Here is a 15,355-nt window from a genome sequence, read left to right as displayed (position 1 = left end):
GAATTGCTTCTTCAACAAAACTAGCCATTGAAGTTTGGAAAATGCTATGCAAAATATGTCATTTTGGTAGATTGATTTTTGAGCATACCTCATTTTATCATACTTTACAGAACTTTACAAATACTGTGTTTTTTACAAATTGAAGGTTTGTGGTAACCCTGAATCAAACAAATCTATCAGCAACAATTTTTCCAACAGCATATGCTTAGTTCATGTTTCTGTGTCACATTTTGGTAATTCTTGGAATATTTCAAACAATTATTATATCTGTTATGTTGATCTGCAATCAGTGATCTTTGATGTTACTATTGTAGTTGTTTTGGAGTTCCACAAATTGCACTAATATAAGATGGCAAATTTAATCCATAAATTTTGTCAGTTCTGACTCCTGCCACAACAGGCAGTTCCCTCATCTCCTCCTTTTCTCAGGCCTCCCTCTTCCCTGAGACACAGTAATATTGAAATTAGGCCAATTAATAACCCTAAAATGGCCTCTAATGTTCAATGAAAGAAAGAGTTGTACGTATCTTACCTTAAATCAAAAGCTAGAAATGATTAAGCTTAGTGAGAAAGCCATGTTGAAAGCTGGGATAGACCAAAAGCTAGACCTTTTGTGCCAAACAGTTAAGTTGTGAATGCACGGGACGTTTTTAAAGAAAATTAAAAGTGCCACTCCAGTAAACACATACGGGAAAATTACATAGCCTTATTTGCTGATGTGAAGAAAGTTTTAGTAGTCTAGATAGAAGATAAAACCTGCTTTAACATTCCCTGCAGAGCAATACCCTAACTCTCTTTCATTCTATGAAGGCTGAGAGAGGTGAAGAAGCTGAAAATGAGATGTTTCAAGGTAGCAGAGGTTGGTTTATGATGTTGAAGAAAAGAAGCTGTTTCCATAGCATAAAAGTACAAGGTTAAGTAGCAAGCCCTGATATAGAAGCTGTATCTAGTTATCTAGAAGATCTAGTTAATTTCATTCATGAAGGTGGCTATACTAAACAAGAGATTTTCAATGTTGATTAAACAGTCTTCTATTAAAAATAGATGCCATCTAGGACTTTCACAGCTAAAGAGGAGAAGTCAGTGCTTGGCTTCACAGCTTCAGAGGATAGGCTTACTCTCTTCTTAGGAGCTAATGCAGCTGGTGACTTTAAGTTGAAGCCAATCCTCCTTATCCTTCCTTAAAATCCTAGGGCTCTTAAAAGTTGTTCTAAATCCACTCAAGATAATTAGAATTAGAAGTGGAACCCGAAGATGTGACTGACTTGCAGCAATTTCATGATAAAACTTATAAAAAACCAAAGGAGTTGGCCTGGTACAGGAGTTGGGATTACACCTGTAATCCCAGCACTTTGGGAGGCCGAGGCAGGTGGATCACGAGGTCGGGAGTTTGAGACCAGCCTGACCAACACGGTGAAACCTCGTCTCTACTAAAAATACAAGAATTAGCTGGGCATGGTGGCGTGTGCCTGTAATCCCAGCTACTTGGGAGGCTGAAGCAGGAGAATCACTTGAACCTGGGAGGTGGAGGTTGCAGTGAGCTGGGATTGTGCCACTGCACTGTAGCTTGGGCGACAGAGTGAGACTCCATCTCAAAAAAAAGAAAAAAAAAGGAGTTGCTCTTTAAGGATGAGCAAAGAAAGTGGCTTCTTGAGAGGGAATCTACTCCTGGTAAAGATGATGTAAACATTATTGAAATAACAAGATATAGAATATTACAACACCTTCGTTAACAAAGCAGAGGCAGAGTTTGAGAGGCTTGACTCCAATTTGGGAAGAAGTTCTGCTATAGGTAAAATGCTGTCAAACAGGAGCATATGCTACAGAGAAATAAGTGCATGAAATGGTCAATCGAACCGGCAAACTTCACTGTTGCCTTATTTCCACAGCCATACCAATCTTTCTTATTGAACTGAACTTGTATTTGCTTGCCTGGCACCAGAAAGCCAAATGATACCAACGTTTGCAGCTAGAGAAAGATGGGCATTTATTGCAGGGTGCCAAGCAAGAAGGACAGGCAGTTAATGCTTAAGAAGAAGTTTCTGATGGCTTACAAGTAAGAGTTTATTAGGCAGGTGCACATTTCAGGAGAGCAGAAGTAATAGGCAAAATCATAATACATGAAGGTTATACATTGGTTTGGTCCCAAAAAGTAGGATTTCTTGAAGCAGGGGCTTACAGATTATAGGAAGATTCAGAGATTCTTTGATTTGCAATTAAGGAAGCAAGGCTTTGTTCAAAAACTTGTGGTTGACGGAAAGAAATGTGAAGGTTTGGGCTTAACATAGGTTAGTTAAGATAGGGGAAACTGTTAATCATTATAGGGTGCCATGCCAGAGTCAGGCCAGGAGAACAAGCCATAATTTACTGGGTCAGAGCAACCAGGTTAGTAAGAATAATGGCTTGAAGGTGTGACTCTTTCCAGGTCCCTCAAGGAGAAACTCAGAACAAAGACTGGCAGCCAGAGTCCAGTCCTCAGTTCTCTTTTATCTGAGATCTAGGTGACAGCGGTCATCATTTTCCATCTGCTGAACATCCTGATTTCTGAAAAATAACTCAAGAACGAATGTATCTTTTAGTTTCTCTAGAGAACCAAAACACTCTGAGACGTTGACTTGCTTGGGTGACTTGTTTAAGCTACTTACTTTGTAGTTTAAATAATAGTTCTTCCCAAAAGCTATAAACAAATTATAAACTAAATAGCTTGTTTAAGCTATTAATATCTTCTTCCTTATTGGGTTCTTTAATTCTCAAGGCTAGCTGGAATTTCCTTGGAAAGCAAGAATTTTCCTTTATTTTCATGTGGTTATTTTCTTGGGGTTGGTGGGGGGCTGGCAAACCCCTAAGTGGGGTCTCTGTTCTTACCTTTAGCTACTACCACCTTGATCAGTGAGCATCCATCATCGTCAAGGCAGGACCCTCTAACAGCAAAGATTGACTTGCTGAAGGCTCAGATGATAGCTAACATTTTTTAGCAATAAAGTATTTTTAAATTAAGGAATGTACATTGTATTTCTAGAAATAATGATATTGCATAATTAATAGACTATAGTACAGTATAAATATAACTTATATACACTGCATAACCAAAAAATTGTGTAACTCATGTTCTTGTGATACTTGCTTTATTTCTATAGCGTAGAACTGAGTACACAATGTCTCTGAGATATGCTTGTAATTCGAACTAAAGGCACTTGAAAAATAGTAAAATGCAGGGTGGGGCTTTCTGAATTTCTCTCATCTGCCAAAAGAGAAATCCTCCAAAAAAAAAACTCTATTGTCATTAATTCTCTCCCCAGGGAATTCCAGTAACCAGGGAAGATTAACTTCATCATGGGAGAGGAGACTTTGGCACACTCATAAAGACCTTGTCACAAACCATTCTTTCAGTCTTTTCAAAAATTATTTACTCTAAGAATCTCTCTCATCCTTGACTGTATCACCCAATGGGTTCTCCTTGCCTGCTGCCTAGACAGAGCCGATTAATTGAGACAGGGAAATTGCAATAAAGAGCTCAATTCATGCAGAGCCAGCTGTATGGGAGACTGGAGTTTTATTACTCAAATCAGTCTCTCTGAGAGATCAGAGTTTTTAAGAATAATTTGGTGGGTTGGGGGCCAGTGAGTTGGGAGTGCTGATTGGTTGGCTTGGGGATGAAATCATAGGGAGTCAAAAACTGTCCTTTTATGCTGAGTCAGTTCCTGGTTGTGGGGCACAGGACTGGTTGGCAGGTCCAGGTGGGGCCATCTTGTTGTCAGAAGTGCAAAAACCTGAAGAGACATCTCAAAAGGCCAATCTTAGGTTCTATAATAGTGATGTTGTCTTCAAGAGTAATTGGGTAAGTTGGAAATCTTATGACCTCTAGAATAATGGCTGGAAGTTATTTAGAATTCAAACCCCTCTCATCCTAACTTGGTGGCCTTTCATTAGTTTTACAAGGAGAGTTTTGATTTTCAAAAGGGCTATTATTTCAACTATAAACTGAATTACCTCCAAAGTTTGGCCCATCCCAAGGAATGAGTGAAGACAGCCAACATATGAGACTAAAGACAAGTTAGAGTCAAGCATGTCATATTTCTCTCACTGTCATAATTTTCTCAGGTGTAATTTTTTTGCAACAGGTATAATGACTGTTATACCCATTGCAGATGAGGAGTTAAGGAAGATGTTTCCCTTTCTTGAATGAACTACTTGATTATTGCCCTAAGCAATTCTTATCTAGGTTGCTCACTGTAATCTGTGCCCTTTGGCTTTGTAAATTTCTCCAAACTAGTATAAAGAGAGTAGACTGGCTTGGGAAGTGTGATTTCAGGGGACAAGCTGGGGGTCCCTCTGTTCCATACAATCTTTGGTAGATTTGACCTCTGTTTTAACCCCATTACTGTCGATTATATTCATTCCATTTTTAATAACTATGTAAAAAGTTTCCTAAGTTTGCATTTCTAAAGATAAAGATCTTATATAGAACAAGTTAGAAAATTTACATCTCAAAGGCACATAAGTTAAATTTCCGGCCTAAATGCCATTATTTGCCTAGACAAAGAAAAGTATAGGTAGGAAGCACAGTTAAAATAAAATGGTCAAAGGTGAGGTTTGCTTAGACCAATGCTCTCCCCCATTGTAAGAATTTCTGCTCATTTTCCTTCATAGATATATCTTTTTTTCAAAAGAGTTTCAAAATAGCTAAATGTTAAAAAGTTACATTTTTGAGCCTAATTTAGTTCCATAGGTGTTCTGTTTAACTTGGTTTTGTTAGCAGTGGTGCATCCATACGGGTCTGCAGCAACTTGATTCTTGCCTTCTTAGAGAAAAGAATTCTACCCAGGTGCATAAGGCAGAGCAAGAATGGCAAATTTTAGAGCAGGAGTGAAAATTTATTAAAAAGTTTTAGAGCAGGAACAAAAGGAAGTAAAGTATACTTGGAAGAGGGCCAAGTGGGCAACTTGAGCTGTCCAGGTGCCTTGTCCAATCTTTGACTTGGGGTTTTATACATTGTCATGTTTCTGTTATTTGTTTTTCTTCTCTCCTGATTCTTTCTTGGAGTGGGCTGTTTGCATGTGCAGTGGCCTGCCAGCACTTGGGAGGGGACACATGTGCAGTGTGTTTACTGAAGTTATGTACGTGCTCATTTAAGAAGCCTTTTTCCCTTACAAGTCGAGTGTTGAGAAAGATGTGGAGGTAATTAGAGAAATGGAGGAAAATTTGTATTTGAGGTTCCATGTCCTGTTGGAGTAACATGCAGAAGACAAATGCTTAAACAGACAGGACAATTCCTCTGCTGCAGGAGGAAGTGGGAGAAAGCAAGAAGAATACTCATAGAAAGCTTCCATACACTCACAAAAACAGCATCCCTTGGATTCGAGAGGGCAATGTTGATTTGCCCTCTTGACATAAAGGAGGAAATTCTGAATGACTTGGGGCTTGGGATAAGGGCTCGCAAATGGCAAAGGAATAATTTTCCCTCCTCCCAAAGGGGTGCTGGCTCAAAAAAAGCAAGTAGGTGGGGTCCTTAAATGGCCACAGACGGAGATCCTATGAAGGCAGACAAATTTCACCAAAAGCCAAAAAAACTTGGCCCTGAAGAATAACAGGGACAAAAGATATATGGTGAATCATAAGGAGCTGGCAGAGCCAGGGTTCCAATTAATGTCTTTCCTGGCAGTGAGCCAAAAGACATCCTTAAGAGAGCCTGTTTCTTTGCTGCTGCACAAACACAGCACGAGCTACACCATGAATAACAGTGTATGTTTCAGGCAGAGAAGGAAGTCATAAGGCACGTAAAGTGAAAGCAGAGAATAGGCAGACTTGTCCCTAAGGTGAATAGCCTTGTGGGTTTTCAAGCCCATTTCAAAATATACACAGAGAAAACAGGAGAATACGCAGTGCAGGTTTTTTGGAAAGAGTTTATTTTAGTTGATAAATCAGAGGAAACCCCAGACGTTGCACAGTGTTAGGCTTTAGACCTACCATTCTCATGAGCCTCCTGTCCAGCAGGGCCATGAGTGTCTCAGGTGTACTCAGTGCAGACTCCAAGGTTCTTTCTACTCCTGTGAGTCACTGTCAGGGTGAGCTGAGAGATCAGCCAGGGGAAGTAGAGCCACTGTGACTGACAGAAATCATCCTGAGGGTTGGTTAGTAAGCAGGAGAGCAAAGGGGGAGAAGGAAACCTCATATGGGGATTGAATAACTCCAGGCAAAGGAGGCAAGGCAGAGAGAGATCTTACAACTAGGTAACGTATCTGAGTCACAACACCAAAGTATGTTAGTTGCAGCAAATACATATGCATGTGTAGCAACTGGATTCTTGCCTCCTTGGAGGAAAGAATTCAACTGAGGGGCCTAAGGTAGAGGGAGAAACCAAGACAAGTTTTGGAGCAGGAATGAAAGTTTACTAAAAAGTTTTAGAGCAGAAACAAAAGGATATGAAGTGCCCTTGGAAAAGGGCCAAGCGGTCAATTTAAGTGATCCAAGTGCCTTGTCCAACCCTTGACTTGGGGGTTTTATACATTGGCATGGTTCCAGGGTTTGTTTCTTCTCCCTTGATTCTACCTTGGGCTGGGTTGTCCATGTGCACAGTTGCCTGCTAGCACTTGGGAGGGGCAGCATGCACAGTGTTTCCTGAAGTTGTGCGTATGCTCATTTGAGGTGGTTTTCCTTTACCAGCTGAGGGTTCCTAGAGGAAGGTCATGTAGCAGTTAAACTCTACCATTTTGCCTCTTAGTGTGGATACTTGAGCCCACTTACCCAACTCCTAAGATCTTACCAGGAAGCTGCTGCTCACCAGGTTCAGGTGTTTTCTATTGTGAGACTGCCCTTTCCTGGCACCAGGTGCGACCAATTATTATTTTAGAAAGACAGTTGAACAAGCTGTCTGATCACCTGATGGCCCCCTGACATTCCTGTCAGGGGAAGGCCTCTCTTGCCCTGCACATGTCTGCCTAGCTACCTACTCTAACAGTTTCTGTTTTAGGAAACAGAATCTTCTGCTTTTAAAACAGAATTCTAAATTCTAGATTCAGTAATCCAGAACTTAGATTCTAGATTACTCAGTTTATTTAGGGTGGGCTCCATTAATGAATAGGGCAAACAAGCATTTTCTATGCCTGGACTCCACATGGATAACTCTGAAAAGGAAGAAAACCTTCTTTACATGAGGGCCAAAATTACTTTTTATTTAGCTTTCTTTATTCCTTTAGGGAGGAATAGTAACTATGCTAAAGGTTGACAGATTCAATTTTTTAAATCAATTAGTCTCTTAAGCTTTTTAATTGCCTTTTGTAAACAAGTCTTTTAAAAGATGCAATAAAAATTGTACTGAAATCTTTCTAGAGGCTTCCACACATCAATAGGAATCCCTGGGTAAGCCTAATTTGGTACCCCTCATTTTTAAGTGCACTTTTTAAAGTACAGTATTCTTCATCTGGGAGGTTCTATATAATGGCCATTGTAATTCTCCATTATCTTAAAAAAGATTTTGCCTTTAAAAATTTGAGGCTACCAGTGCCTAATATTTATACGTATAAAAAGCAGGCATAGCTGGAAAGTGGAGTGGTCAGTTCTTTAGAAATTAAGGATCTTGTTTTTATTCTGGCCCTTGGGTCAATCAGAGCAGAGATAAAATCCTATGATGAAAAGACCAGAGCATTGTGTATTCTAATACTTTCACAGAGTACCTCATTGCGCAAAGTTTTCTTGAAGCTGATGGGTGACCTACATCAACTAACCCATTTTTGTGACCATGGGAGTCTTATTTTGGTGGTGACTGCTCCAATACCTCTTAGGTGCCTATTCCATGCCTGTTACTGGTAATTAGTCAGGTATGAGCGTGGCAGGAGACGGTTCCACCCACCCCCACCCCTATCCCCACCAGGAACGTCAGGCAATCATCAGGTGACCATTCAGCAGCTATCACAGTAGCTCTCTAAAAATGATAATTGGCAGCCAGTGCCAGGGAGAAGCAACTTCCTGATGGTTGACAGTTTTCAAACTAAAGTGATAATTAATTGCAGGCAGCAGGGAGAAGCAATTTCCCAAACAGATAAAAACACTTGACATTGGTAATCAGCTTCCAATAAAATCTCAGGAATTGGCCAAGTGAGCTCAGGCATGCGCATTAAGAGACAAAATAGCAGAGTATGGCTTTCTGGGGGCATTCCACCAGAAAAGGGAAAACCCAGGTGGGCATGCATATAACTTCCTAAACACACTGTGCATGCTCACCTCCCAAGCATAAGGAGGGCACTGCACATGTGGGCAGCTCACCCTTCAGAAAGAATGTAGGGAAAGGGATGCAAGAGGTCAGAAGTGGGCCAGCACATAAAAGTCTTAGGATCAAGTTTAAATGGGGAACTTGCCTTCACACTGCCCACTTGAATCTCTTCCAAATGTACTTTCCTTTCTTTCCTGCTCTAAAGCTTTTTAATAAACTTGCACTCCTGCTCTGAAAGTTGCCTCAGTCTCTTTTTCTGCCTTATGCCCCTTCAGTTGAATTCTTTCTTCTGATGAAGCAAGAATTGAGGTTGCTCCAGACCTGCACAAATTTGCTGCCACTAGCATGCCCACCAGTCAAGTTTGTGTCTTTGGCTCTGAGATTGCCTTGACCAACATAGCTAATAATTTTTCTCTACCTAAGCATGCAAGAAAAAAACACATTTCTGAAAACTTTCAAAAGCCAAAGTTCATACTTCCGGCGGTAATTGCCATTTACTGCTAGTTTCTGCCTGACTTAGTCAAACACCTGAGGCCTCCCTACAGAACCCAATCCTGTTTCTGTTGTGACTTTCACTCTTATCGGTGACTTGTCAACCACACACCCCAAGGTTGGTACTCTCTTTTACAGCACAATCTAAGCCTGGATTCAAAGGCCAAAAAGATCTGGGTTGGGGGAACACTCAATGCAAGAAGAACAGAGTCTGATCCAAAATGAAGTTGCAGCATGTAGCGGTCCATAAGGAAGAAAGGGGATCCATGAAGGGGTCAATGGAGGCTCTCCTGTGTTCCTCAATAAGTCTCATAAATTTTCAGCAGCATTTTGGGTCCCCTTCTTCTGGTAACCAGATACTGTCAAAAGACAAAATTACAATAAACTTAGTTTAAATATCCTAATTGGCTTTTATTTGCAATTTTAGAATCAGACAACACATTATTCGATAAAATAAAATGAATGTCCTGATGAACTGAGCAAAGTTATTTGGCTTTATAGACAGAAAAGTGCTAAAGATAGCAGAAACAGAGAACAAAAAGACAATTGGTGTTTTGAAATTGCTTTCCTTGTAAAGGTTACTTCCTTATCATGCTGGCTAAAACTGGCCTGTTTGGAGATTCTGCTATGATGGAAATAAAAATATTTTACCCCAAAATAGATTTCTTTGACATATTTTGAGATGGCTGTTCAGAGAGAGAGCAAACTGACATAACCCTGAAGGGTTATCTTTTGTAGGAGAGATTTGCATCTGTAGAATATCTACATTAGTGAGCCCAGGTTTTCTCTGAGGCCTCTCCTTGTCTGGATCAAGGAAAAATTAACTGAGAGTTCAACACCTTTAAAGGTTTTTAAAAGCATTTACTATCTATTCTCTCTGAGGGCTGCTATCCTCAGAGAGGGTAGGTTTCATTTACATAGCAAGACTATCTTTGTTAGACAGGCCTCCTCTTCTCCCCCTCTCATATCCTGCTTTACCACCTGTATTAGTCCATTTGCATGCTGCTGTTAAAGACATACCCGAGACTGGGAAGAAAAAGATTTTTAATCATCTTACAGTTCCACGTGACTGGGGAGGCCTCACAATAATGGCAGACAGCAAAGAGGAGCAAGTCACGTCTTACATGGATAGCAGCAGGCAAAGAGAAAGAGAGCTTGTGCAGGAAAGCTCCCATTTTTAAAACCATCAGATCTTGTGAGATTTATCCACTATCATGAGAATAGCATGGGAAAGACCCACCCTCATAATTCAATTATCTCCCACCAAGTCCTTCCCACAACACATGGGAATTATGGAAGCTACAAGATGAGATTTGGGTGGGGACATAGAGCCAAACTGTATCACCACCTTAACCTGTTTTGCGAGCAATCCAAGCCCTTATTCTTTCTGTAACCTCAAGATGTTATAAAAACATCTGAACACCATTCCAGGGTAGGGTAATTACATTGTAGTTCTCCCTTGTATGATTGCTAACAAATCTGTATGCTTTTTCTTCAATTTGTTTTTTGTAAGTTGACTTTTCAGTGAAACTTCAGAGGGTGAAGGGAAGGTTTTCCCCTGTCCCCTGCAGCTATAATCTCTCTCCTGATTTCTTGAAAGATCTGATAAACAACTTAGTTTTGGCTTGGTGGCTTTGAACTTCGGCATAAATAACTTCATTTTGGCATAAGTAACTTCATTTTGGTTTGGCCTGTTGGGCGTAGTGCAGAAGCCCAGTTCAAATAATAGCTTTCTATAAATTTTACTTAACAATCATTTTGATGAGAAATGGCAAATAACTAGGTCAATTTTTCCAACTGTAGGGACCAAGGGGAACCCTTATAACCACCCAACAGGTTCACTTTGCCCAGTGCCTAGACAGAGCTGATTTATCAAGACAGGGGAATTGTAATGGAGAAAGAGTAGTTCACGCAGAGCTGGCTGTGTGGGAGACCAGAGTTTTATTACTATTCAAATTGGTCTCCCCAAGCACTAGGGAATCAGAGTTTTTAAGGATAATTTGGCGGGTAGGGGCTCAGGAAGTGGGGCATGCCAACTGCTCAGGCTGGAGATAGAATTATAGGGGTCGAAGTGAGTTTTCCTTGCTGTCTTCTGTCCCAGGGTGGGATCATAGAACTGGATGAACTACATTACCCTTCTGGGTGGTGTCAGGTGATCCATCAAGTGCAGGGTCTGCAAAATATCTCAAGCACTGATCTTAGGATTTACAATAGTGATGTTGTTCCCAGGGGCAATTTGGGGATGTTCAGACTGTTGTAGCTGGAGGCTGCGTGACCCCTAAACCTTAATTTCTAATCTTGTAGCTAATTTATTAGTCCTACAAAGGCAGACTGGTCCTCAGACAAGAAGGTTTTTTTTTTTTTTTTTTTTTTTTTTTTTTTTTTTAAAGAAAGGGCTAGTATCATTTTTGTTTCAGAGTTAAAGGTTAGTTCAGCCTATGCCCAGGAACGAACAAGGACAGCTTAAAGGTTAGAAGCAAGATGGAGTTGGTTAGGTCTGATCTCTTTCATTGTCATAATTTCCTCCGTTATAATTTTTGTAAAGATGGCTTCACCCTTGGCCCTCTGGAGGTTTGCTGAAAAAAACCAACTTGCAAAGGGCAGATTAATAATAAAAAAAAAGGGCATATAAATTTATGTAATATGTATGCATAGGAGACTTCAGAATGAAGATTTTACCCCCAGTGTGGTACAGATGCTTATGCATCATCTTGAGGTTGCAGAAGGAATGTGGGCTCAGAACATGACCCAAAACAGGTTATGCTGGTAAATCAGGTCTTAGTGGCAAGACAGATTCTGGGAGGGAGGAAACAGGAAGCTTAGCTAGTAAAGGTGGCGTTGTTATATAGATGAAGCTTTGCTTCACAGGCAGCAGCCCTTGGAGAGAATAGATGGTAAGAGTCTTTTTCAGACTTTTGAATGTTTCAGACTCAGTTAATCTTTCTCAGTTAATCTGAATAAGAGACGGGCTGGCTGCATTAATGTAGATTCTCTGCACATCTACAAATGCAAATTTCCCCCACAGAAGACAGCTTTGCAGGGCCACTTAAAAATATGCCAAATTAATATATTTTGGGGTAAAATTTTTTATTTCCTTCACACTCCAAAATCCACTGTACCCTGCTCCCCATTCTTGAGCTTTCCTTCTGACCTCACTGTGCTTTTAAATAAATAAAATGACCAGAAATAAAATCATAAATGCTGATGTGACAATTGTTTAATAGTCATGTTTCTAGTTCTTAGGTTGAAGGTGTCTTAAATTATCATCAATATTTCATCACATATAAAACATAGTTCAGCTATTAAATTGTAGAACATTTAAATCGGGAAAGAAAAAAAAATCCAGTTAAGATCTGGACTCTAACAATCCAAGAGACTAAAAAGTTTTAGTACCTATGTTTTGGAGTTGGTAAATTAAGCTTGTCTTAGAAGTTTTAAATTTAAGGAGAAACTTTAAATTCAGGGTATTATTGGCTACAGCACCAATGTATTTCTTTTGAAAAGATAGTGTTTAAATGAAGCTTTGCTTTTGTGGGGGCCATGGCCTTTGGCCCCCTGAAGTTTCACTGAATATCACTAACATGGGGCAGATTGATTAAATAATGGGGGAGGTCAGAGAGGCCTTGAGGTTTCTTCAGTTCAACATGCCAAAACATCATATTTTGGGGTATTGGTTTTGTAACTATCCAACGGGTTCTCCTTGCCCACTGCCTAGACACAGCTGATTTATCAAGACCAGAAAATTGCAATAGAGAATGAGTTTAATTCACTCAGAGCTAGCTGTACTGAAGGCCAAATTAGTTTTATTACTCAAATTTAGGAGGACAAAAATCGCCTAGTGCCCATCAAGCAGACCATCCAAAGTCAAACTCCTTATCTGAAAAATTTAGAAGTAATTAGACTTCCCTATTATCTAAAGCCAGCAGCTGGTACCAGGCTTCTTTCTCAAGAATTTATAAGTAACCAGAATTTCTATTCATCTCTGGAATGCATGTATGTTGAGACTCATAATGCAACCCTTGCTGACATTAGTGTTACAGGATTCTTTCAGTGCTGCTTTTGCCAGCTGGAAATCTCTGTGGCCACCATGACCTCTGCCTTGGGCCTTGCTTGGACCCACCAGGCTCACTCTGCCCACTCAGCCTAGCAGGCTGCACTTGGTTTGTTCCCCGCCCCAGATCCCACACCTGCCATGGGATCCACACTCAGCCTGCAGCTGGAACGGTCATACCACCACCAGCTTCCACCTTGGGCACCAGCATCTGGATGAGGGGAATGCAGTAGCAACTGAAATCTCAAAGATGCCAGCAACTGCACAGCCCTGAGGAATGCTACAGATCTTGCCCAGGGACTCCCAAGCTCCAAGGTCCAAGGCCCCAAGAAGTGTTACAGCTGTCTCTCATTCCTGCAGCTTGGCAAACGGGCATGTCACAGCACATTCAGTCCCACTGCTCACAGCTCAGTAAAGGGGGACATGTCACAGCTCATTTGGATTTGCCACTGCAGGTTGGAGAATGAGGGCATGTGGCACTCAGCGGTTTTTTCACTCCCGTAGCTCAGCAAGCAGGAGTGTATGTTACAGCTCTTTTCGCACCCACTGTTCAGTGGATTCTAGGTTCTTGTCCCGTGATGAAGAGGAATGAAGTACGTGGACACTGGAGAGTGAGCAAGGCAGATAATTTTATTGAGTGACAGAAAAGCTCTCGACATGAGAGGGGCCCAGAAGTGGGTAGCCCTCTGTGTGAGAAGGGAACAAAAAGTGGGTTGCCACCTGTGAGGCTGAGTCCAAGGCTTTTATGAGAAAGTGCATGCTGATTGATCCATGGGTGGGCCTGGAAGAAGCAGCATTCAATTGGCTAAAGGGCATCAAGGAAGTCCTCACTCTGGTTGTGAACTCTACCTGGAACAGGAAGCTCAGTTTTCAGGCTTTAGACTGTCCTTGGCTCTAAGGTCAGGTTTCACTGGGGACACGACCCTTTCTGGCTAGGAATTTGACTGTTTACTGTCACTATCAATCCCCCCTCTGAAGAGGTACGTCTAACTGACATTATTACAGGGATGGTGACAGGTCTAACTGCTTCATGCTGACAGGGGCATTGTTTTGGGAAAACAGCAGTTAGATGTCTCTCAGAGGTCTACCTATGGGTTCCCGGTAAAAAGAGCCATCATCTGAGGCTCTATTTCCATGACCATTTGGAGTTTGATGGTCTCTAGGTAAGAAGAAACAAATTTTAAAAGGAGGTTAAGTATGCATGGATCAAATATGAGTATTATACTAATCATTCTGAAAACAATGTTTTGATCAGAGCTGTTTCACCCTGGTGAAAGTAAGTCTTTAATGGGGGTAGGGAAGCTAAACTTCAGAAAAGAGATAGCTGTTTAGGGGAGTAGATAATGCCATGGGCTTTCAGGATTAAGGGATTTTTGGCAAAGATGCCTTATGGTGAGGAATAGAATGAAGGCAAGAACAGCAAGCATAGGTGAGACTATAAAGAGGATATCCATAAAATGTTAGTGACACTTATGTTTTGTGATCTTTAGCTTGAGGTCTCCAATTTCTTCACACTGGTGCTTCGGGTGCTCCTCTGGGTCAACAGAGGAAAGTCACTTTCCAAGGTCTTTACTCAAGTATAATGAATCCAAGAATCTATTCCAGTGACTTTCACTGCTGAAGGAGTAGAAAGAAGTACAGTGTAAGATCCCTCCCAACATGGGCGTAGAGAGAGAGAAAAGGAAGGAAGTGCCTTGATCAGAACTAAGTCCCATGGGTTGAACAGAAGTAGCCCTAGTTCATGAGGTTGGGCTTCCGACAGTTTTAGTTCCTGTTGGAAATGGGCCAAAGAAGTTACATATTTAATCAAACCAGAGGTTTCTTGGTCTAGCAAGAAATCATTAATGAGAAAAGGCCATCTATATATCTTTTTGAAGGGGATTAAACCCAGCTTCAAAGGAACATTTCTGGAAAGAAAAGTAATCCAGGGAGATGAGTGTCTTGAGAGACAGTTTTCTGAAGTGCCTTTTGATAGTATCATTAGTGTTCTATACCTTTCCTGAGGATTGTTGTCTCCAGGCACAGTGAAGATGGTATTGTATGCCTAGTGCCTTTGAGACTCCTGGCTTACAGCTACCTTGAACAAGGGACTATTATCACTCTGGAGGTACATTGGGAGTCCAAAGTGGGGAATTATCTCATTAATTAGTACTTTCATCACCTCATAGGCTTTCTCTGCTCAACATAAAAATGCTTCTATCCAGTTAATGATGGTATCTACCCATACCAGGAAGTACTGGATGTCCCTTATCTTTGGCATATGGGTGAAATTCATCTTCCAGTCTTCCCCTGGGTAGCCTCCCATTCTTGGGTTCCAGGGGGGAGAAGCTGTCAATTGAGATTATTTTTAAGGCAAGTCTCACAAGCATTAATGACCTATTTCACTATTTTTAGCAGATTTTTACCTGAGAACAACCTCTAGGCCAATGATATGTTTTATCCTTACCTAGGTAGAAGGCTTGTGAAAGATTTTAAGAACTTTCCATTGGCTGGAAGCTGAAGAAGGTGAAGTTTGCCATCTTCTGATTGTAGCTATCCTGAGGACTGAAAGGCGTATCCCTGAGAGGTGGCCTATTCTATTTCCACAGGAGAATATTGAGGTT

The 15,355-nt window shown here is 41.0% G+C and overlaps 2 annotated features.

Moving 5' to 3' along the window:
- Positions 1,101-1,301: a silencer, noted in NCBI's record as "peak6389 fragment used in MPRA reporter construct". NCBI's record gives its function as "represses an SCP1 promoter by STARR-seq MPRAs in K562 erythroleukemia cells {active_cell/tissue: K562}" and the evidence as "EXISTENCE:reporter gene assay evidence [ECO:0000049][PMID:32103011]".
- Positions 3,642-3,842: a silencer, noted in NCBI's record as "peak6388 fragment used in MPRA reporter construct". NCBI's record gives its function as "represses an SCP1 promoter by STARR-seq MPRAs in K562 erythroleukemia cells {active_cell/tissue: K562}" and the evidence as "EXISTENCE:reporter gene assay evidence [ECO:0000049][PMID:32103011]".

The sequence above is a fragment of the Homo sapiens genome, chromosome 7 (genome assembly GCF_000001405.40).
Source record: "Homo sapiens chromosome 7, GRCh38.p14 Primary Assembly".
Classification (NCBI taxonomy): Eukaryota; Metazoa; Chordata; class Mammalia; order Primates; family Hominidae; genus Homo; species Homo sapiens.
The sequence above is the reverse complement of the archived record's forward strand: the minus strand, read 5'-3'. Positions and strand labels throughout refer to the sequence as shown.